Here is a 23,222-nt window from a genome sequence, read left to right on the forward strand (position 1 = left end):
AGATGGAGTTTCACTTTTGTCACCCTGGCTGAGTGCAATGGTGCAATCTCGACTTTCTGCAACCTTCGCCTCCCAGGTTCAAGCGATTCTCCTGTCTCAGCCTGCCAAGTAGCTGGGATTACAGGCACCCACCACCATGCCCAGCTAATTTTTGTATTTTGATTAGAGATGGAGTTTCACCATATGGGCCAGGCTGGCCTCGAACTCCTGACCTCAGGTGATCCACCTGCCTTGGCCTCCCAAAGTGCTGGGATTATAGGCATAAGCCCCAGCACCTGGCCAATAGTTTAGTTTTTTAATGACTCCCTCAACTTTGTTAGGTCTGTTTATTTGAGAGCATGTATTTATTTGGGGCCATAAATGTATTTTTACATTTACCTATTTTATTTATCTCAGGTCTTGCTTTTTACATTAGAGAAGGAAGCTTTACTAGTACTCTACTTGGAGGGGTACATCTCTTTATCAGGAAAGGATCTTATTCAGATATATACATACATACATTGTATTTATTTATAAATACAATAATAACACTGAAGTATAAAGAACCACAATTTATTACTTTTTTCCTCATTTTTTTTTTCTGCTGTGGAGCTTACCAGCTAGAATTCTGGTTTTGGTAGCAGGAAAGAACAAGTGGCAACTTTGTGAATTGTGGCATTTGAGATTAGACGGATATACAAGATGGTGTACTACAGCACTCTAACAGAAGGGAATAGCACTGTTGTCAAAGACATTGGAAGGTCTCTTGTAACTGAAAGAGCCCTCTTTGGCATTTGGCCGTCTCAGTTTCACGATAACAAGACGAAGCAGGAACCTTGAAATTGCTCCTCTTTGTATTCCATTCCTGGATAATTACCATCTATACTCAGATTTCGAAAGGTCCTTTTATTTTATGATTGCATCTTTCAGCAACAACTATTATTATCCTATTATGCAATTTGCCTTATTTATGATGCTCAGGTGGGAAAACGTTCAGACTCCACAATTGAAAAGATCGCCCTGATTGAGCATTTTGTGGTGCTTTTGCTTGTTTTGCTGTTGAACAAACAAGAGTTCAAGACAGGTGAATTTTTTCCAGATGTGCATTTGAATAATTGGACAGATCCCTGTGGTCTCTTCAGTAATAACACAAGTGACTGCTTATTGTCGCCTTCTTCCTCCATGCCTGGCTTCCTGTGGTCACTCTGCAAAGGGCTCTGTAGTTGCAAGATGACTCCACAGTTAATATTGAGCTCATGAGGAGTAAATAGTTCATCCAAGCTGGGAATCTCTGAGCTTCATTAGGTCTGCTTATTTGGGTACCAGAACCTGTCACTATCCAGGAGACACACAGCAGATCAGCTTTCACTTGCTTTGTTACCATTTTAGGCATGAAATAGAACGATTTTCTCCCAGAACATGATGTCCCTGTGAAGTAATAAGTGATAGCACTTTATGGGCTTTAAGGAATCTAGAGCCAGGCCAGTTAGCAACTGAAGCTGTAGTAACTCAGCTGGACACTGATGTCCTTTTCCTGAAGTTATATGAGCAGAGGCATGTAAGGGAAATGTGGCTCGGTGACCCACAGTGCTCAGTGCCCAGTTCAGTGACAGGCAGCCAGGAGAGCTGAGCCATGGAGAGGCCAGCAAGCCAAAGGGATTTGCTGCCATGCTGTGACATGGAAGGCAGGGTGCACTCAGCACTGTATTGATGACGTTCTTAAGTCTGAAGGACTTAATGCAGTTTCTGGATGTGCCTCCTCATCACCACACCTGTTCAAGGGGGAAACTGGGACCCACCCCAAGAGTCAGCTCTATAGAAGTTTTTCCTGACAATACTCTCTACTCCTGGAGGTAGACTGTGTTTTTCTCCTGTACTCTCCTCTAACACAGAACTTGCGTGTTACTATATGCAACTTGTTTATCTGCCCCCTGGACTGTGAACCCTTGAGGACAGGGATATTGTCTTATCACTCTTTGAATTCTCAGTGCTGGGTACATATTACGTGTTCAATACATGTTTGTTAAATAAATGAAACAGTCACGTTTGGCTCCTTTCTTCCACAAGGCATTCTACCCTTCCACGGAAACAATTATAGCAGCATGGAAACAATTACAGCAGCTATCTATAATTGATAATCAGAACTAATGAAATATGGTAGCACAGGCATGAATAGAGTTGAAATTATCAGAGTGATTATAAAATACATAGGAATAAACTTAACAGAAATTGGGCAAGACCTTTATGAAGAACTCTTCCAAACTTAACTAAGGCACATAAAAGAACACTTGAATAAATAGAGAAACATGTTCATTGGTGAAACGAGTCAATGTAGTAAATACGTCAATATCACTTTTTGTCCATATTAACCTAAAATTTAATACAGTTCCAGCATAAGCTGTAATGTTATTTTTATTCTATGAAATTTGATAAAATACGGTAAAGTTCAGAAAAACATTGCCTGAGACTAGTGAAGAATGAAAAAGAGGGGAAAATTTTATCTCATCAAGTATTAAAACATAAAATATAGTAAATATAAACAAAATGGTAGACAAACTAAGAAATTGGAAGCCAGTATAATCTGGATACCAAAACTTGACAAAGGCACTACAAGAAAAAGTTATAGCCTTAAGCATAGATGCAAAAATCATCAACAATATATTAACAAATGGAATCCAGCAAAACAGAAAAAGGATAATATATCATTACCAAATGGGATTTATCCTGGAAATACAAGGGTTTAGCATTTGAAAATCAATGTAATTTATTGCATTTATTGAAATAAAAGAGAAAATAAGAGCATAGCTACAACAGGAAGTCTAGAAGCAGGCTTGAGTATACATGGAAACCTAGTACAGGTTCACAGTCCTTTATCTGAAATGTTTGGGGCCAGTTATATTTCAAAATTTAGGGTTTTTAGCAGTATCTCATAATCAAATTCATGTAAATTTCCACAGCAGAACAGATTAATACGGACACTAAATGGGATGATAAAGACCAGAAATAGCCTCACATTAGCTCAGGTCAAGTTTTGCCACCAAATGAATTTAAGCACCAAACCGCAAAAAACAAAAGACTCTGTTTTCAGAGCTTTATGATTTCAGAATTTCAGGTTAGGAATTATCAACTCTTTAATGCCAGGGTGGCACATCAAGTCAGTGATGAGATTTGTAAAAGGCATTGGGATTACATACTAGTCATTTAGAGGAAGAAAAGGATAAAGTTAAATTCCTACTTAATAGCAATATTGTTTATGTTTAAAGATTTTATGTTAAAAAACTAAAGAATCTATAAAAGCACAAAATATATACTTAATCTTTATTTATAATCTTGTGGTAGCAGAGATCTTTGTAAGCATGATACCAATAGCAGAAACTAAATAAATTTTAAAAAGAGATCTTACAGCCAGCCACGGTGGCTCATGCCTGTAATTGCAGCACTTTGGGAGGCCAAGGCGGGCAGATCACCTGAGGTTGGAGTTTGAGACCAGCCTGACCAACATGGAGAAACCCCATCTCTACTAAAAATACAGAATTACCCTGGCGTGGTGGTGCATGTCTGAAATCCCAGCTACTCGGGAGGCTGAGGCAGGAGAATTGCTTGAACCTGGGAGGCAGAGATTGCAGTGAGCCGAGATTGCGCCAGTGCACTTCAGCCTGGGCAACAAGAGAGAGACTCCGTCTCAAAAAAAAAAAAAAAAAATCTTAGATTACTAAGCAAAAATTACAAAGAACACCATAATATTAAAAACTAATGTCAATGTGGAGAAAATGTTGGCTATATATATAGTGGCCAAAGGGTTATTGCCCATAGTTTATAAAGAGCTCTTACAGGTTAATAAATAAGAGATGCATTCTCCACGACAAAATCAGACCAAAGATATGAAAAGGTAATTTGCAAGAGAAGAAATACAAATGGCCGCTGAATTCTTTACTACTACTATATCACTATCACTACTACTAGCAGGTACCATTTACTGTTTATTGTCTGCCAAGCACTGGGCTAGTATCATATCTTGCTTAAGAAAATACTATGAGACAGGTGCAATTATTTACATTGTGCAATGAGGACAGTCCAATTTAGGGAGCTAAAGCAGCTTGTCCTAGATCACACATTTAGCAAAACTGTTGCAGCCCAGGGCTGTCTGCCTCTGAAATTCTTGCTCTTCAGTATAACACGGACCTACTGCTCCTATATATCAGTATTTGTATAAAAAGAAAATTCAGTGAAAGCAACCAGAAGTTACCATTTGTTTTGCCTATTAGATTGGCAACAATTGAAAAGGAATATTCATAGCCAGGGAAGATCAGAGTGTGAAGCCTGCACTCTCATATATTGCTGCTGGTAGTGTCAACTGGCATGATTTTTCTGGAAGGCACTTTGGCAATATGTATTGAAAGCTACATTCTTTGATACAGTCTTTCTACTTCTAAGAATTTGTCTGAAAGGACTAATTTGATAAGTGCTTATATGTAAACAGTGTTCATTTCAGTATTGTTTATAAAAGCAAAATGTTGAAAGAAACTTGTCCATCAGTGAAAGATGGGTTAAATGAGTTATGAGAGAATTGAAGATGTAGAGCTATATTTATTATTTAAACATTGACCTTCATTTACTTTTTTTTTTTTTTTTTTAATGGAGCTTTGCCCTGTCACTCTGGCTGGAGTGCAGTGGCACAATCTCGGCTCACTGCAACCTCCACCTCCCGGGTTCAAGCTATTCTCCCACCTCAGCCTCCCAAGTAGCTGGAATTACAGGCACATGCCACCACATCTGGCTAATTTTTATATTTTTAGTAGAGACGGGGTTTCACCATGTTGGCCAGGCTGGTCTCCAACTCCTGACCTCTCAACTGATCTGCCTGCCTTGGCCTCCCAAAGTGCTGGGATTATAGGTGTGAGCCACTGCACCCGGCTGACCCTCATTTGCTATTGGATGGAAAAATAAAATAAAACAAAGCATGTTGCAAAACAGTTTTGTGGTGCAACTTTATATTTGAAAAACTCCAAGTCATATACACATATGCCAAGAAAAAAGTCTGGGGAGGCTGTGAAACACAGTATTGACAGTGGTATAATTATTAGTGTTTTATTTTTTTCTTCATATTTTTCTGCAGTATTTATTGGTTTATTTTTGCTCTATACATAGACTCCAGTTGAAAAAAGTATTTAAAAATATATACTATAATTTTCTCAGACTGATAGAACATCTCAACTTGAAGATTAAGCACAGAATTTGGGGATGTTCATCCAGATCTGTATATTTACTTTGCTTTTGTTAGGGAGTATGTAGGTACTTCCTGTACTTATATTTTACTTTTTGAAAGTTGGCACAGGCATGTGCTCACACATACATTATTTCCCACATGTTAGTCCAAGAATTGCCAGGCTTCTATTTCAATGACTGTGTTTAAAGTAATAGTTTGCCAGCGACTTGGTTTACATATCCAATCAGTGTGAAAGTTATGTATCCTTCTCCATAGATACAAGGAAGTCCTCTTTGCCCAATCAGTAGATCAAGAAGGCGAACACCTTCTTAATTACAAATGAGGTTTTAAAAAGTTGGCTTAACAAATATAGCTATGTTTGCTTAACAAATATAGCCATATAGCTTAACGAGTATAGCTAAGGAGACCTACCTGAGGATTCTTCTGGTTTAGAAAAGAATTATTTCTGATAGGGAGACAATCATGTTGGGTGTATTTTAAAATGCTTGATATAATCTTCAAAATTTATTATGAAACAGTGAAATCTGGCCGAGTGTGGTGGCTCACGCCTGTAATCCCAGCACTTTGGGAGGCTGAGGCAGGCAGATCACCTGAGGTCGGGAGTTCGAGACCAGATTGACCAACATGGAGAAACTCCATCTCTACTAAAAATATAAAATTAGCCAGGCATGGTGATGGGTGCCTGTAATCCCAGCTACTTGGGAGGCTGAGGCAGGAGAATCGCTTGAACGCAGGAGGTGGAGGTTGCGGTGAGCCGAGATGGCACCATTGCACTCCAGCCTGGGCGACAAGAGTGAAATTCCGTCTCAAGAAAAAAAAAAAAAAGAAAGAAAGAAACAGTGAAATCTAGTATTTTATATGACATGAGCAATTTGCACAGTGACTTTGAACATTATCCTGACCATCAAAGAACATTATTTAATAAGAATTGTGGACTAAGTAACTTTAGTGTGCATTTTCAGTGTCTCTAAAGATTTGGGCGCAGAGTTATGAGCTCCATTTGGTTGAACTGGTAGTTTTAGAAACAGATTTTTAAATTACTTACCAAATGTAAAAGGAAAACACTTGTATTGAAAACACTGGTTGCAGATCGTTCTAAAGGCCATTTGGGACAACAGAACAAGGCAACATCTCAGAGAAAATGGTTAGTAATGGGCTCTTAGAGATGGTGTCTTAATGCAGTAGTTATTTTGAATTATCTTTAAAATGGTTTTTTGACCCTGTTCTTCTGTTTTGACATTCTCCTTTGAAGGCATACAAGTTATACTGATGATATTTGAATAGTGGAACTCTTGTGTAGCAGTTAAGAGGGTGCATTTTAGAGTCAGACAGACCTGGGTTAAAATCCAGGCTCTACCACTTAGTCGTTTTTTGAGCTTTGGCAAGTCACTCTAGTCTCTCTAAGCTTTAGTTTCTTCATTTCAAAAGTACAGACCTGACAGAGTTGTTGAGAGGATTAAATGACATAATTTTTGTAAAGAGCATAACTGCCTGGCAGATTAAATGTTCAGTAAGTGGTTGCTCTTTTTTCATAAGTAGTCCAATTTCTTTTAGAAGATTTTCATAATAATATGTAGTGTAATGGAAAGAATGCACACTGTCTTGTCTAATAGACCCAGATTTGAACACTGGTTCTGCCCTTAACAACCTCCTAACCTTGGGCAAATCATTCTGCTCTGTGCCTCAATTTTCTTCCCCAAGAAATGGAGTCATAATGCTGACCTTTTTAGGGGTTGTAAGGATTTGAAGTGATATAGGCTAAGTGTCAAACTCTATGCCTGGAGGAAAGTCAGTATTCAATGAATGGTTACTATCATTATTGTTATAAAGCTAATAAATATCAAAGAACATGTTAAGGCTTTTAATATTTTTCCTCTTCTCTTTTTTATCTTTAGTTGTAATTCTTTAAGAAATTGGGTACACATAGCTAAGACTGTGCAGTATAAGAAAAGTGTTAATAAGTTATATAAAAATGTATTCTAATACTACATTTGGTAAACAAAGAATAAGAATCTGTAGGTAGGGATTATATGAGTGGAGAAGGATGTGTACTTAGGGCTTGGCTTTGGGGTGCGTGTCAGAGACTAGTGTATGAGGAAGAAGAAGCAGGAAAAGGCAGTGTTTCATTTCTCACAATCGCCCCTCTCACCAGCCACACTGAAGAGGTGATGTCATGGGCCTCTGATGCTGTGCTTGCCCCCATCACCCAGCCGTCTGGAATAGCTGCTGGAGGTGCCCAGTGTGCCAGCACTGAAGGAAGGCCTGGCTGCTTGGCAAGCATTGGTGATGCTGTGACATTGAGTTCCTGGGGAGGCTGCCTGCTCAGGTGGACTGCCACATGCTGTATGTCTTGCTTCATATTTGCACAATATGGTGCTTGATGTGATTCATTCATCCATTCATCCATCCTTTGTTTTTTTTTTTTTTTGAGGCAGCATCTCACTCTGTCACCCAGGCTAGACTGCAGTGGTGATCAAGGCCCACTGCAGCCTCAATCTCCTAGGCTCAATCGATCCTACACCACAGCCTTCTGAGAAGCTGTTACTACAGGCATGCGCTACCACACCCTGCTAAATTTTTATATTTTTTGAGGAGACAGGGTTTTGCCATGTTGCCCAGGCTGGTCTCAAACTCCTGGGCTCAGGCCATCTGTCTACCTCAGCCTCCCAAGGTGCTCGGATTACAGGCGTGAGCCACCTGCCTGGCCTGTCCATCCTTTTTTCCCTTCCTCCCTCCTTCCCTTCCTTTCTTTTTTTCCCTTCTTGTCTTCCTCCCTCACTTTCTTTTATCCAGCCATCCGTCTGTTCATCAGTCCATCCATCTGTCCATCCATCCCATCCATCCGTCCATCCATCCATCCATCCGTCCATCCATCTTCTAGGTCCTAGGTATAGTAGTAAAATAGTCAAAGTCCCTTCCCTCAAGGAGCTTACATTTTAGAGATTCAAAGCATTTTCAAATGTATTATTTCATTTGCTTTTTAAAACAAGTATGTGAATTTTGAATTTTTTAGTATTTTCATTTGCTAGATGAGGAAACAAAAATATTTTGAGATTAAATGACTTACTTGGGATAATAATGCTATGAATAAAACCCATTATTTTTTATTTAGAACTCTTTTATCTATACCACTTTTGTATTCTAAACAAGTTTTTCATTAATGAAACATGTTTTCACACTGTGTTTTTCTCAATACTTCAATCATAGGTAGCCAAGGGAATTTTAAAGAACATTAAGTGCACTCAACTGAGCTGCTTTAACCTTTCAATATGTTCCCGCTGCTCTTAGAATGAGATTTGAAATCCAGAACACCACTGCATCATCAGGCCAGTGCTTCCTTCCCAGCTCTGTCTCCGGACCCCGTCCCTCGTATTGCCTGTCTTCTGCAAATGCTAGCCTTCTTTCCTGACCTCAGAGGTATTGTGTTCTTTCCAGCTTCAGCCCTTTGTATGCACTGTTCCCTCAGCTTGGAATCCTCTTCTCTGTTTCCCTCCTTGTCCGTCTTCCCCCTATCTTCACCAAGCTAATCCCACTCAACTCACAGATCTCAGCTTTCATGCCACTTCCTAGGGGAGGCCTTCCTCATCCCCCTGCCAAGGTTAGGTCCCTGTACCATATGTGCTTTCTCATAGCACCCTGTGATTTTCCTTAATGACTCACCTATCACAATCCAGGATTTTGTTGACTGTCTGCCTCCCCTTCCTGTAAAGGTTAGAGGGTAAGCTCCATGGGGGCAGAACACTAGTTATGTCATTTTCACCGCTGTTTCCCTGGCTAGCACTGGGCCTCCTGTAGGCCCTCCAAAATATGCAAATAAATGAATGAACAAACACCCTGGCAGCATGGAAACCCAGAGCGGCACAAGCGAGTTCAAATGCTTATGGTTTGTTCCATCTCACTTCCCTCTAGGATGTGATTTTAGCAGTGTAGGCAGCTTACGAAATGGGGCAGGTTTCTTGTGTTTTACTAATGTGTAAATAAAGATAGAGTAACTCTTAAGATATGGAAAGTTTGTAAAGTGGCAGCAAAAAGTGACAAGGTGTGGGGATCCAAATACAGAGCCTAGGGAAAATAGAATAAACCAAGTTGTTTTTATGTCTCTTTTCCATTAGACTGTGAGCAAGCTGAAGTCGAGTCCCAGAACTTATTTATGTTTATATCCTCAAAGAGACTATAGTGCCTGGTTCATCGTAGCTGTGGAATAAATGTTGAATGAATGAATGATACACCTCTTACCTTTGAAGCTGACTTCTTGTGTTCTTCATGCTGACATTAGAAATAGGAAAAGTCAGTCGAGTACAGTAGTTCAAGCCTGTAATCCCAGCACTTTGGGAGACCAAGGCGAGAAGATCGCTTGAAGCCAAGAGTTTGAGCCCAGCCTGGGTGACAAAGTGAGACCCCATCTCTACAAAAAGAAAGAAAAGAAAGAAATTGGAACCGTATTATTTGTAGAAAAAATACTAGATCTAGAACCAGAGACACCTAGGTTAAAACTGATTTAAAATGAGAATAATTATTCCTACCAAGTGGAGTTGTTGGGAGGGTGGTATACATATAGATGGTGTATATAAAGTGCATAGCAAGCTGGTTGTGGTGGCTCAGGCCTGTATTTCCATCTAGTAGGAGGCCGAGGTGGGATGATCCCTTGAACCCTGGAGGCGGAGGTTGCAGTGAGCTGAGATCACGCCACTGCACTCCAGCCTGGGCAATAGAGGGAGACTCTGTCTCAAAAAGAAGTGCATAGCAAGCACCAGGCACATCTAACAGCTCCTCAGAACATTTAAGCTCCCCTTTTTTTGCTTCTTTCCCTTTGGTATAATTTTAGAAAGACTTTTGGGGAGCATGACATATAAATCATTAAAAAAGAGAGAGCCTCAAAGCAGAATCATGGCAATTGAGCTAGATTTGTATTTATCAAAGCAAGCATGATGCTGGGATGCTTAAATAACAGTACAGTACATTGCAAAGGAACTAGGGAATAATGTTCCTATTATTTTTGTCCATGGTCAGCCTATTACTAGAAAAGAGTGACCACATTGATTTCTAAAGTCCTTATATTCAAAACTTTCTGTGCTGACCACCATCATTTATGTTTTTCCCATCTCTACTTAAAAACGTCAACTAGCCCCAACTTTTCCTCTAGTTATTTCTTTTATTAGATTTATTCTGTTCTCCACAATAAAATCTATCTTCTGTTCCCATCCATGACAATTCAAGTAGTTATAATGGGTGGATATAGGGTATGATAAATGTTGGTAAATCCACTGAGTTCCTTGAGTTCCACATTGATGTCTTTTAGGATGTGACTAGGGGTAGGCTAAATATTTTCTAGTTTCTCAGATCCTACCCCTGGTCTAATTATGATATAGAGGCCAGATTAGTGTCACCAGTTTTTCTTTCTCTTCTGAATGTAGAGCAAGAGCAAATGATTGCAGATAACAGCATGAGAAACTTAGGATCAACCACCAGCATCTAAGTGAGTCTTGTACTAGGCTCATTCCAGTTAAAAGCTGTAAATCATTTCATAGCCACATCAGTTTAGTTCTCTTTTATAGAACTCATTATGTGATACAAAATATGCAAGGCACTGGAGATACAAATACAATTATTTCCTCAAGGAACTTTGAGTTGAGCAAACATGGTACTGTCTGGTGAGACCAGACATATGAGCAAACATAGTACTTCTCTGGTGAGACCACATAGAGAAATGTACAAGGGGTAGAGGAGGCAGTGATGACTACTGGTCTGGGATAGTTGAGGGAAGGTGGCATAGGCTGCCTATTGAAGAATAAATTAGAGTTTGCTATGTGAACAAGGTTGCAGAGGGAATAGTATATGGAAAAACAGGGAGATGTGGACCCATATATTTTGTGCAGAGATGTCCAAGTACTTAGATATTACTATATTGCAAGTATGAAGAAAGCTTTTTTTGAGATCTGACAATGCCAAGGTAGGTTATGGACTCTCTTTGGAGTCCCCAAAATAAAAATAAAACATTCACATCTGCTAAAGATAGCTTGAATGGTATTTTTGCTAAAGGCAGAGTCATATACTGTATGTGCCAGATAAAAGTCAATGTCTATTATGTAAACATTGAGATTACATTAATTAATTTAAAAGAAAGGATTCAAACTTAGTACTAATCTGCATCTGGAGAACTAATCTGGTATGTGTTATTTTCAAGTCACCCAACTAAAGCAGTCTGTTGTATGGAACTCTGCTCCCTCTTAGTCAAACAAATGCAACCATAAAAAGCAGTGCAAATTCAGTGTCACCTTTTCTCCATGGGATTGGGTGGTTTCTTTTGGAGCAGAGAGAGTTTCCAGAGAATCAATATAGTAGCCAGAAGAAAAGTGGAGGGTGGCCTTACCTTGTCCACTCCGTGCTGCCTGAGGGTGAAATGGAACCTCGGATGTTGTACACCTTTAAATTGTCCATGTTGCCTGTTTCATAGCCTTCCCGGGCCAGGGAGCTGTGTAGTCAGTTTATAGTTCTAAGAACCAGAGCAGGACTGCTGTGCTTGTAATTGCATGCTTTTTATGGAACAGGCAATGTTGTTTAGGGAATTTGGGCAGCTGGAACCTGCCACATTAGCAATTTGGACTGAGGAAGAATTTCAGGGTGATAAAATAAAGCTCATTATATAAATTCACTTGGGTATTTAGGAGGCTGAGAAGGGAGAGGATGAGAGTATTCCAAAGGCAAGCAGGAGAGTTTCATAAACAGGTCCCTTTCTATTCGTTTTTACTGTAAGTGTTGAATTGAGCTAGGAGGATCACATGGCCCATTTTGCAAAGGGCAGTCATGTTCTGCTGTTTCTTAGCTGTTTTGTCAGTTGGAACAAAACAACAGCGCTGCTCATTTTTTGCAGGGTTAGAGGAAAAAGGAAGGACTGGCCGAAGAATGGGGTGGGGAGCTGGAGAAGAGAAGGGCCAAAAGTGTCAGACTGTGGGGATGAGGACCTGAAGGAGGCCCATGAGACCTCAGGCATGGGCCCTGGAACTCTGCCTTTTTGAAGCCTGTTGACAATCTCACCCTAATTTAACCCTTTGTGGAATTCTTCCATGAGATGCAGTTGCCATCATCAGGCTTCCTAGAGAATTGAGCCTGCCCACTCTGTTATGAAGTCTACCCAGAAGAGCTGGCAGAGTAGGCCCCTTCACTGGGACTGCAGCAACACTGACCAAAGCAAATCCTTCTCTTGGAAGAAACAAACTCATTCCTCACACCTGCCTCACCCCGCTCCCACCGCCACCCCCTGCACCACACGCCAGCCCTTAATAAAAACTAAAACTGATGTCATTGTAACCTTTGGTTATTCTTTTTTGTGCGTAAAGTGTCAACCTCCTGTTTTATTCTCATAAATAATGGAAATCTTAACTTCATTTCAGAAAATCACAAAAGATAACAGGGACCCTATTCAAACAGAATAAAAATAATTAGTAAGTCACAAACTCTGACTAGAAAGAAAAAGAGAAGAGAGAGAGGGAAGGAGAAAGAAAGAAGGAAAGAGAGGGAGAGAGAGAAACGAGGAAAGGAAGGAAGGAAGAAAGTGAAAGAAGAAAGTCCTCTTGTTGGTGTTAAAATGTGTCTTTAAGGGGAAACTTATCATTTAGGTTACTAATGGTTTCTTTCTTCATCATTTTAATTTCCATTAATAAAATGTGACTTTGAAAGGATGCAGGGAGTTTGGGAATAGAGAGTTTTATTTTTATTTGTTTATTTTTTTTCCCCTTCTCCCAGCAAAATACACAGGTATCTGACTATGTAGAGACACGAAGCCACCTATCCTGACCAAACTTGGCAGTGGTCAGGGGATAGGAGGAAGTGTAGTGCCATGGGATGGGCACCAGCCCTGATGAACTCGACTTTCTTTCCATTTCTCTCCTGCATCCAAATGTTGAGGAGACTTTGAGTAGTAGTGTAGCCTCTTTTCCTTTTAAAAATCTGCACCCTGCTTATTTCCAATACAGATATGAGGTTGGTACCCACTAATCTTAACAGGATATATATATATATATCTAAAGTATATAACATATTATTTAAAAACTAATGTATTATTTAGGTTTTATTAAATTATCCTGTTTTTAGGCTATGCTGATGGGCTAAATTTGCCTAAACTCCTGAGATTTAGATTCTCATTTATTGGCATTAGAGGAGTTCCTAAAAAAAAAAAGCTATTAAGATTAAATATCATAAAAATCTTTCTAGGAAAATATAATCAAAAGCATCAAGGCTGTCTCCTACAGTTAGTGGTTTCTATTATTTTGGTTCTCAGAGCTATGACAATGTCACTGGATTTCAAGAATTCAGAAAGACAAAAAGAAAACTCATAATTTTGAAATGGGGAAAGGGAAAGATCTTGGACATAGTCTTCTGTTTTTAAAATAGTCATTCTCATTTTAAAATAGGAAAAAAATTATTTTTCATTTAACAAAGCAAAAAACCCAGTCTGTACTTTTAAATTAATGCAAACATCAATATTTTATAGGGAGAACATTAATAATCATTGTGGAGCCCATTAATCACAATTCTGCTTTTGATTTATTGTAAATATGCCTCCCATTTTCCTCCTCATTACCAATCACCTTCTTTAATTATAAGAGGGCTTTCATTAAAACTTTTGAATCATTTATTTTGGAGCACCTAACTTTAGAAGACATTTATTGATTTTTATAGCATAAAATACAAATGTTTTTATTTTAGAAAACATCATAAACTAAAACTTTATTGGAGGAGTTTGGCTAAAGATTCAAAAATATATAGAAGTAAAAATATATTTAAAACTGCACAGTTTTTACAACAGCATGTATGGCATTTGGATTCAGAATTTTAACTAGCAGTAACCTCATCTGTTTAGTAATGAATTTTAAAATAGAAAAAAAATCTGCCAAAACAGACCAGTTGTTTATTAGCTATTTAACTTTGATGAGCTGAAATGAGATAGTGAAGCAGAATAATTAGAACAACTTTTTTTCTCAACATCTAAATATTTCTCTTTTTCATTAACATTTCAGTTAAGTTTGAAGAAATTCCAAAAATGAGATTCTCATTAACTAAAAGGAATTCTAAGGGTTATAAGCCATCTACATTTTTTCTATGACCTGAAGACTTTTTTTCGAAAACCAATTTTGGGGGAGGATTGTCAGATTTACCTAAGGTTTTGGTTTTTAATTTAAAAAAATTTAAAGAAACTATCTTAGTGATTTTTGTCATCATTTTTATTTGTTGCCATGATTAATATATGGAAATAAGATAAATTGGATTCTATTTCTGTGAAAGCCATATTCTTAACATCAATGCCTACCTAAAAAATATACGAGTCACACTTGATCATTCAGAATCATTTTGAAATTCTCTGGTAATCTTTTAAAAAGCCAGCGTTGACTAGTATTATGTGGCTAGTTATATTTATTACAGCAGTCTAGTTATTGTTTGTGTAACTATAGTTTTTTTCTAATAGAAATAAAATGTCTATTTGCAGGATAAAAAGAAGTATGTATATTTGATGATTTTGTTGTAGAAAATACTTAATACCTTTTAAAAGCTGTTTGACTTTCGGTTTTAAAACAGCTGTGTAGCTTGGTGAGTCCTGCAGATTCCGGCTTTCTCTGTGGCCTTTGAGCCAAGTAATTTTTTGCAACATTTTCCTTTGCTTTCTTATAAACACTCAAAAATTATACTTGCTTTTCCTGAAGGCCAGCTATTAAGTTAGAAAGCACCAAAGGTGTTATGAAATTGCCCTTTATTTTTTCGTACATCAGGGAGGAATGATAGATTTTGTGTATCTCTTGTGTGTCATTAGAACAGAAATATTTAGGGCTGCTAACTCCCGGAGTTGTGTACTTACCCTTATTACAGATGCAATGATTTTGTCTGACTGCATTGCTTTAAGATGAGTTTTATTGCTTTCATGCTTAGGCAAGGATATTTAATTTTATTTGTGTTTAGAGTATCTTGTTGTAATATACTTCTCCCCCATCTTGTGCTCCTAAATTTGGGATAAGCATAGAATCCTTTTAAGAATGTAGGTTATTTTCCAGTTTACTAGAAAGCATGACACATATAAATTAGCGACTAAGGATTATAGCGTCCTTTCCTAAAGGTTATCATGAAAAAAAGTTAAAATGTCAAAGAAGATCCTACTCCAGTAAAAACAATTTACTCTGTAAAATCCTGATACCTCATAGGAAGCTTTGGATCTTGTTCTCAGCTACCAAAATTCTTTAAATATGAAAGTTAACATGACAGGAAAGTGGAATACACTCTGTGCTGAAGACCCACTGTTCAAGGTGTGTGGTTATTAATCTGGGTTTGAATTTACAAATTATATGGTCTGATTAATTTGTAGATAGGGGTCGGTGGAGGTTAGACGATGGGCTTTAGAACAAAGAGGCTGATAAAATACTACTCACAAGCCTTTCTGCTTGTTTGTGACTCTCTGGAAATGCCATTAGATAGTTCTCATAGCTATGGTCAAAATAAGTAGGCTTAGAAATAAAAGACATTTTCTCCCCTGTAAAAGGAGGCGGCTGGCCTGTGCTCTTTCTAGGCTCTTCCCAGAGACAGCAACCTCGGCTTCTGAACCCTTAGTGCTCATTCTATGCTCCACCGCGTCTCCTCTACACGCCATGATCTTTGTTATCTGATTTGCTAGCCATTGTTATGGAAAGTTCTCGACTGTAATGCAAAAAGCTCAGCCTTGGGTCCTTGCTAATGTCAGCAACCCAAAGGCGCCCCTCAAACCACCTCGAAAAGAAAAATCCTTTAAAAGATGTCAAACTCTCCTTTCATGTTAGCCCAAAATGAAGTTCCCGAGCAGCATCTGGCAGAGCAGGGTAATTCAATCTATTTTAATGCAAAGATTTTCCAAGAAGGCAGGAAGCCGTCAAGGAGAAGGCTTTGAGGCATCTGCTGTTTTGTTTCCAGATCCCTTGTGTTAATTTAATGTTTCTAGGGAACCCGGCTCTTTCTTTTTTCTCGGAATCCCTGCTCTAGGAACTGGTGAGTGCGGGGGCGCTGTGGGAGCTGCAGATAAGCCAGCGCTTGGCCGGGCACCCGCGGGCCGCGCAGCGGGGCAGGGAGGCGCGCGGCCCCAGCCGCCCTAGGGCGCCGGCTGCCTCTGCGGGCCCCGGCTGCCCAGCCCAGCGCGGGGAGGCGGCGCCGACTGCCGGGGGGCGCCTGCAAGACCTGTTTATTTGCATTTGTCCAATTTGGCTCAAGTGAAAGGTAAATACGGAGCGATCAGCTTGTCCTCACTCCAGCAAAACCAGGGAAACTCAGCTCCATCTCCAGGAAACAAACCCAACCCAAACCTGAGTGAAACGTAAATCTTGCATAAACAAACACGTTCTTTTGCTTCTGGGAAGGAACACCGGAGAAATGGGCATTCCTTCCGACTGCCCGCCTCCCACTGTCGGTAAAAATGAGCCGTCACAGGTTGCCGGCAATTTCTTGTTGTGTCCCGAGCCATTCCGCGGATCTTGTTTTGAAGGGGCGAGTCAGGTGTTTGTGCGGCTCCAGATCCTGAACAGGTTATGCGCTGGGTCCTTCCTTATCAGGAGGGGGGTCAGGCTGCCCTCCCATTCTCATCTTCCGCCCCAGACCAGAGGCTACACCAAAGTTCACTTTTGAAAAGAAATCCTGCAGAATTAAAAATAAATGTCTGCCCTTTAAAATAGTTTCGTTTTAGTATTATGCATATTTCTGTTTAGGAACTTGTAATGCTAATAATTTATGTTGCTATGACAATTGTCCTGCATACCTAATATTAAATTTAATGAATTAATGTGGCGTATAGAGTAATAGTAACTTAACTAGTACTCCGATAATGCCAGTATTCCCTGTGTTACTAAGTTAATGGAATCAGAATTTTGGAGTTACAATATAGAGGTTTTTTAGGCCAATTTTTCTATGGGATTCTAGGGATCTTTTTATAACATTTCTGCTTTTCGAAGCAGTCTATACCATTGCTGGAGAGCCGTAATTACTAGGATGCTATTTCTTTTTGTTTGTTTGTTTGAGACAGGGTCTTGCTCTGTCATCCAGGCCGGAGTGCAGTGGGTCCAACTCAGTTCACTGCAACCACCACCTCCTAGGCTTAAGCGATCCTCCCACTTCAGCCTCCCCAGCACCTGGGACCACAGGCCCTCGTCACCGTCTGGTTAAGTTTTGTATTTTTTAGTAAAGATTTGGTTTCGCCATGTTGCCCAGGCTGGTCTCGAATAGAACATTATTCCTTATAGTAAGCTGAATTCCCTGTGTAATTATTCTTACTGTCCCTTCAATAATAAAAGCCTAAAATTATTCTTACTCATATATTTTAGTGAGGGTGGTGCATGCTTGAAGACCGTGATGAGTGTTCTCTTCTTATATTCAGGGCAACTATGATCACATATTGGGCTCCAGATCCTTGCTTTATGCATCTTCTTTTGAATTGTTTAGAAACAATGGCAAAATTTCCAATTTCAAGGTAGTGCTTGAAATTATGCAATAAAATGTTATGTTAGCAACATTTTTTTTTATTTTAAAAATTCCTTTGATTATTTCACACTTATATCCTGTTCTCTGTTATGGTAGTTTTGTTTTCTATTTTATTTTTAGTTTCTATGTAATTTATTGTGCTTTAGCTGAAATCACTAAATAAAGATAAATGAGTTTAACAGACTCTTATGTGCTCATTTTTGGTTCTTTTTTGCTTTACCCCTTGTATTCGTTTTCTATTACGGGCATAACAGATTACCACAAATGTAGTGGCTTACCATATCCATTTATTTTCTCATCATTTCTGTGGGTCAGAAGCTTGGCACAGGATGGCTCTCCTGGCTTCTGTGCCCAGGGCCTTCACAAGGCTGAAGTAAAGGGAGCAGCAGGCCTGGACTTGTACCTGTAGGCCTTCCAGGGGAGAATCCACTTCCAGGCTCACTGGCAGAATTTAGTTCCATGTGGTAGTTGTACTGGGGGCCCAGTTGCCTTTCTTGGAGAGCACTAACTGCTGGCTGTTACCAAGGGTCTTCTAGAGGTTGCCCATCTACATCTTCAAAGGCAGCCACAGTGTGCAGAATTTGCTTTAGATTTCCCTGCCTTCCCCTAATGTGTTTCTCTTCTACTTTTAAAGGGCATGTGATTACAGTGGCCCAACTGGATAATCCAGGCTAATCTCGCTAGTCAACTTATTAGTAACCTTAATCACACTTGCAGTGTCCCTTCATAGCAGTACCTAGTTAAGTGCATGATTGAATAACTGGGTAATGGGACTTCTCGGGAGAGATCTTTGACATTCTGCTTACCATACCCCTCTGGGTACCACTTTGTTGTGATGGTAACCTCATAAGCAGCCATTTAAAAGAGATTTTAAGCATCTTAATTTTGAAAATTTTGCAAGGTAAAATTAAAATAAATCCAAGTAACATCAAATATTACTTATACATAATTCTAGAGGTTTAATAAAAACAATAAACATTCACCATAAGTAGTTGTTGCTTTTAAAACCCAAAGTTTTTCTACCTTGCAAAATCTTCCTTGATTTTCTTGTTTTGTTTTGGTATCACAATAGATCAGTTTCTAGTACCACCACTATATAAAATAAAAATAATAATTGCATTTTAAAAAGAATGGTTTTCCTCTGCACTCTGATTTTAACCATGGAAAGTTTTTGGTATATTCAAATATAATTCTATTAGATTCCAATTTTGAATAAGAAACTGGGTTCCCTGACCTAGCTGCCACTTACTCATATCTAAAATGTACTTGAATTTGCAGCTTCCAAGTTGGGCACATGTAAACCCCCTCTTCACTTCTTATAGAGCTGCATAATTCTTAAAGCTTGTGGTGACGGGAGGGCACACTTGCTTATACGTCCAAATTTACTGTTTATGGATCTCGATTACTGTTTTCTACTTAAATTCTAATTTTTCTCATTCATTAATTTTAACTGGACAACTATTCAGAAGTATGAATTACATATGGGCAAATTCTAGTGCTTTGAAATTACTGGAAAAAAAATAAATGGATGATCAACAGATGCAAGGAACAGAAAATGTTTGGCTTTTAGGGGAGTTTTATGAATACTCTTTTGGACTTCCCCACTTCCTTTTAGTAACTCCAATGTCTTCCAGTAACTCTAGCAAGGAGGAGGCCCAGGGAGAGAAATGGGGATCTCACAGTCTCATACTAGGAAGCTGTGCTATGGGGAAGTGACTGGTGGTCTGGAGATGTGAGGTAGAGGCATAGGCAGCAGGTATGTTGACACTTGAAACCAGTACCTCCTCAGCCCTTGCGGGAAATGTGATAATCCAATCTTAGCCATATATCTCAGGTGACTCTATATCTGAAACGTGCAATGTAGGTAAGGTACTTCTGTTGTTTCTCCTAATTTGTGACTATTTTCATATAATGAATGATGGTCGTGGGCATTTTGGTATAGAAGGTTTTAATTATGGCTCAGTATTTGTGTAATTAACCAAGTGGAATGATTTAGAGTTCTGATATTACTGAAGTCTTTACAGCTGGAAGTCAATGGATCCATGCCAGTACATTATTAAGTATACAATTACTTATTTGCCTATTTATCCCTTCTCCACCTTATTACAAAAAGATATTGAGGAAACTTACACACATACACACACTATTACCACCACCACCTAAAATGAATAGATGAAATTAAGGTAAAGGGAAAATAAGGCTAGGAGAAAAATAACCATGCTAGGATGAATAGGGTTAGGGCAAAGAACATGTAATATAAAATTCTATATGGGGCTAGAGCTAGGCTGTAAATTTGGCTCTGGATTTTCTAGCAGCCAAAACAAAAAGAGAGAAAATTAATGAGCTACAGGATTCACCATATTCATAAAATGATTAAAGAAGATTGGGATTTTCCCTTGAACCCATCTTGTTTGAAGTGGGGGCATTTGATGCTTTCTTTCTGCTAGAAAGGTTAACTCTGAGTTGCAATAAAAATCATAAAAACACAACTTTGGCAGAAACATAAATGAACAGTATGACAGAATGGAAGCAGTTCACAGGATTTCTAATATTACCTCTCTTTTCCTCGGTCCACATTCTAATATTCCAATATGCTCCTCAGCACACAGAGTGGTCCAAGAAGATTGGCCATTCTTTCCGGAAGTTGGACTTCCCTGAAGATTATGTGGGAATGGGACGTGGAACCTGATAATTTTTTTTGCAGAATGAAAACTTTTATCATGAAGAATTTTTCTTTATTGCATACTTTTATACAGTTAGGCCCCAACCCGGGAATTAGTGGTATTCCAAAAGTTCCTTTTTAAGTTGCTTGTTTGAAATTAAGAATGTATTTCCCTCCAAAAATGATGTTGGCTACAATCTAATTTCAGACTTGCGATGAACCCAAGGTTCAAAGAGGTTAAATCTGAATAAATACAGTTCTACAATTCTGTATTCAAAGCCATTGAGACCAGATTTTGCTGAATTTGGATTTTTTTTTTTTTTTGAAGAAGGAAAGAAGGATAATATTGTGCATGTACCAGTCATATAGCAGTGTGGTCTGGAGCAGGATCCTATAATCAAGCACATTAATATTTCTGCAGTGAAACTGATGAATATTCACACGCAGTGGATAAATAAAAACTATAAATAGCCTCATGTCAGTTCAGGTCAGGTTTGTCACCAAATGAATTCAGGCCAAATGAGTTCAGGTCAGGTCAGGTTTTGCTGCCAAATGAATTATAAAAAAAAAAGAATGGTTTTCACCACTTTTGGGGTTTCAGATTAGTGGATCTTTATTACACTTTTTTTAAAATAAAAAGGCACTAGTATTATAAACTTTAACCACAATGTAATGTTATTTTATGGAAAAACGTATTGAATTCCTATTAAGGAAGCCAATAAGTCATTGCTGTATTGCGGCCCTGTAGCAAAAATGGAGTGTTTCCATCAGGCTGGAGTCAGAGCAGAAAAGGACCTCCTCTGTAACCCAGGAGAGAGAGGGCTCTTGTCAGGCAGGTACTGGTGATAGTATTGGGAGACCTAGGGCTGGGAACTGGGGAGGGGCATGAGACAGGGAGACGGGAAAGCAAGGGTGAGTATTATTCTTTTCCTTCTCCCTTATTCATTTCCCTACTTTTTCTCTTTTTTTCCTTCCTCTTAATTTTTCTTCTTCTTTTTTTTTTTTCAGATGTAGTCTTGCTCTGTTGCCCAGGCTGGAGTGCAGTGGTGCGATCTCAGCTCACCACAACCTCCACCTCCCCGCCTCCCAGGTTCAAGTGATTCTCCTGCCTCAGCCTCCCAAGTAGCTGGGCCTACAGGCATGCGCCACAGTGCTGGCTAATTTTTGTATTTTTAGTAGAGACAGGGTTTCACTATGTTGGCCAGGCTGGTCTCGAACTCCTGACCTCGTGATCTGCCTGCCTTGGCCTTCCAAGGTGCTAGGATTACAGGCGTGAGCCACCACTCCTGGCCTAATTTTTCCTTCCCTTTTAATGCTAGGGCAAGGAGCATGGCAGTGGTGTCAGGTGGCCTTACACTTCCCTCTTCTCCCACTCTTTCCTTCAGACTACCTGTAAAGACACTGGAGGGTGCTGAAATAACACCGCTTTTAAAGGTAGTTAGACCACAGTCTCAGTCTTGGCTCTGCCCTCTGGCTGTGGGACCTTAAGTGGTTTGCTCAGCTTGTAAAGTGGAGAAAAAAATATATATATATATGAAATACTTTATGTAATATTATATATCATATGGTAAGTATACGTTTATATAAATTGGAGCTATGCATATATCTTTGAGTGGCATCCCAGAATGGTAGAGAAGATTCAGTGCAGTGTTAGGTGATAGTCCCTACCACAGAATGCGAGTTCAGTAGATGGTAATATCCTTCATCATTGTTTGTTGTCCCCTCTCGCACCTTCCAGAAATCCTTTCCTTGTCTCCCTGAACTCTGGCTGAGAAGCAGGGAGCCACAGTGCAGCTGTGAAGGGGAGGAAACAGGCTTCTTCTTTTTTTGGTTTTGTTTTATTTTATTTGAGATGGAGTTTCACTCTTGTTGCCCAGGCTGGAGCGCAATGGTGCAATCTCAGCTCACGGCAACCTCCGCCTCCTGGGTTCAGGCGATTCCCCCCTGCTTCAGCCTCCTGAGTAACTGGGATTACAGGCATGCACCACCACACCAGGCTAATTTTGTATTTTTAGTAGAGACGGGGTTTCTCTGTGTTGGTCAGGCTGGTCTCGAACTCCCAACCTCGGATGATCCTCCCGCCTCGGCCTCCCTAAGTGTTGGGATTACAGGCATGACCCACTGCGCCCAGCCAGGAACAAGATTCTTAAGCGTTGAGTATGGCAAGGCATACTGGGGAAGTGATCTGCAAAAGCATGAAAGCCCCAAAGTGTGGGTGTTTGTATCTGGTCTGACTGAGGGATCCAGTCCCCCTTCGGGACCTGCTTTTGGCTTTGGTAAATCCTAAGACTTAGAGGTTTCTGGAAGAAAGACTAATCTGCAGTCTCTTCTGGGAGTTGATTGGAAACAGGTATCTTTGGGGCTTACCCAGAGCTGTTCACAGATGTGAGGGCTGATAGTGCCTTGCCTTATCCCATGGCCAGGGCCTAGCAGGAGTAGCAGTAAGCCCTCCAAGAAGCCACTAGAAATTGCACAGCTATTCTAGGATTGACATGGGCCCTGGCTGGTGGTACTATAGCTCTTCATATTAACTGCATGCAACCTTTCAATAATATTAAGTGCGTAACATCTGCCAGGCACTATTCTGGGGACATGATGGTTAATGACCTAGACAAGATCCCTGCTGTCATGGAAACAAATGAGGGAACTATGTTGGAGAATAGCAAGATGAGGGTGGATGGGTGAGTGAGGGCTGTCAGAGGAAGTGACACTGAAGCTGGCACCTAAAGGATGAGCAAGAATTAGCCATGCCAGTAGCCTCCTAGCTAGAGAGGCCAGCAAGTTCAAAGGGCCAAGATGGGGAGGAGCTTGGTGTGTTCTGGGACCTGCCAGAAAGTCATATTGTTGGAGCTTCATGAGCAAAGGGGAGAG

The 23,222-nt window shown here is 39.7% G+C and overlaps 1 protein-coding gene and 1 long non-coding RNA gene across 11 annotated transcripts in view, besides 4 other annotated features; one reads left to right on the forward strand and one right to left on the reverse strand.

The window, feature by feature from the left end:
* CRADD-AS1 (CRADD antisense RNA 1) overlaps window positions 1–11,701 on the reverse strand; it is a 30,033-nt gene extending 18,332 nt beyond the window's left edge. For both annotated transcript variants that reach the window (NR_110092.1, NR_110093.1), the window contains exons 1-2: window positions 11,577–11,701; window positions 9,443–9,611 (exon numbers count right to left, since the gene is read on the reverse strand). This is a non-coding gene — a long non-coding RNA (CRADD antisense RNA 1). The remainder of the gene's footprint in view (window positions 1–9,442; window positions 9,612–11,576) is intronic.
* Window positions 1–23,222, forward strand: part of CRADD (CARD and death domain containing adaptor protein) — a 217,466-nt gene that overhangs the window by 48,748 nt on the left and 145,496 nt on the right. For 2 of the 9 annotated variants that reach the window (XM_024449252.2, NM_001330126.1), the window contains one exon: window positions 12,078–12,514. The exons of 6 other annotated variants lie outside the window; for them this stretch is intronic. In XM_024449252.2, the coding sequence (XP_024305020.1) occupies window positions 12,078–12,172 (95 nt within the window). In that variant the 3' untranslated portion in view covers window positions 12,173–12,514. Of the gene's footprint in view, window positions 1–12,077; window positions 12,515–23,222 lie in introns of those variants that run through there. One more of the 9 variants, NM_001320101.3, reaches the window with a different exon arrangement.
* Window positions 15,196–16,152: an enhancer, noted in NCBI's record as "OCT4-NANOG-H3K27ac hESC enhancer chr12:94135094-94136050 (GRCh37/hg19 assembly coordinates)". NCBI's record gives its function as "activates a minimal SCP1, AML or CMV promoter by ChIP-STARR-seq in naive and primed H9 embryonic stem cells {active_cell/tissue: H9 hESC(naive and primed)}" and the evidence as "EXISTENCE:reporter gene assay evidence [ECO:0000049][PMID:30033119]".
* Window positions 16,153–17,109: an enhancer, noted in NCBI's record as "OCT4-NANOG-H3K27ac hESC enhancer chr12:94136051-94137007 (GRCh37/hg19 assembly coordinates)". NCBI's record gives its function as "activates a minimal SCP1, AML or CMV promoter by ChIP-STARR-seq in primed H9 embryonic stem cells {active_cell/tissue: H9 hESC(primed)}" and the evidence as "EXISTENCE:reporter gene assay evidence [ECO:0000049][PMID:30033119]".
* Window positions 16,196–16,365: a silencer, noted in NCBI's record as "silent region_4716". NCBI's record gives its function as "represses an Ori minimal core promoter by ATAC-STARR-seq in GM12878 lymphoblastoid cells {active_cell/tissue: GM12878}" and the evidence as "EXISTENCE:reporter gene assay evidence [ECO:0000049][PMID:35858748]".
* Window positions 16,396–16,485: a silencer, noted in NCBI's record as "silent region_4717". NCBI's record gives its function as "represses an Ori minimal core promoter by ATAC-STARR-seq in GM12878 lymphoblastoid cells {active_cell/tissue: GM12878}" and the evidence as "EXISTENCE:reporter gene assay evidence [ECO:0000049][PMID:35858748]".

The sequence above is a fragment of the Homo sapiens genome, chromosome 12 (assembly GCF_000001405.40).
Source record: "Homo sapiens chromosome 12, GRCh38.p14 Primary Assembly".
Classification (NCBI taxonomy): Eukaryota; Metazoa; Chordata; class Mammalia; order Primates; family Hominidae; genus Homo; species Homo sapiens.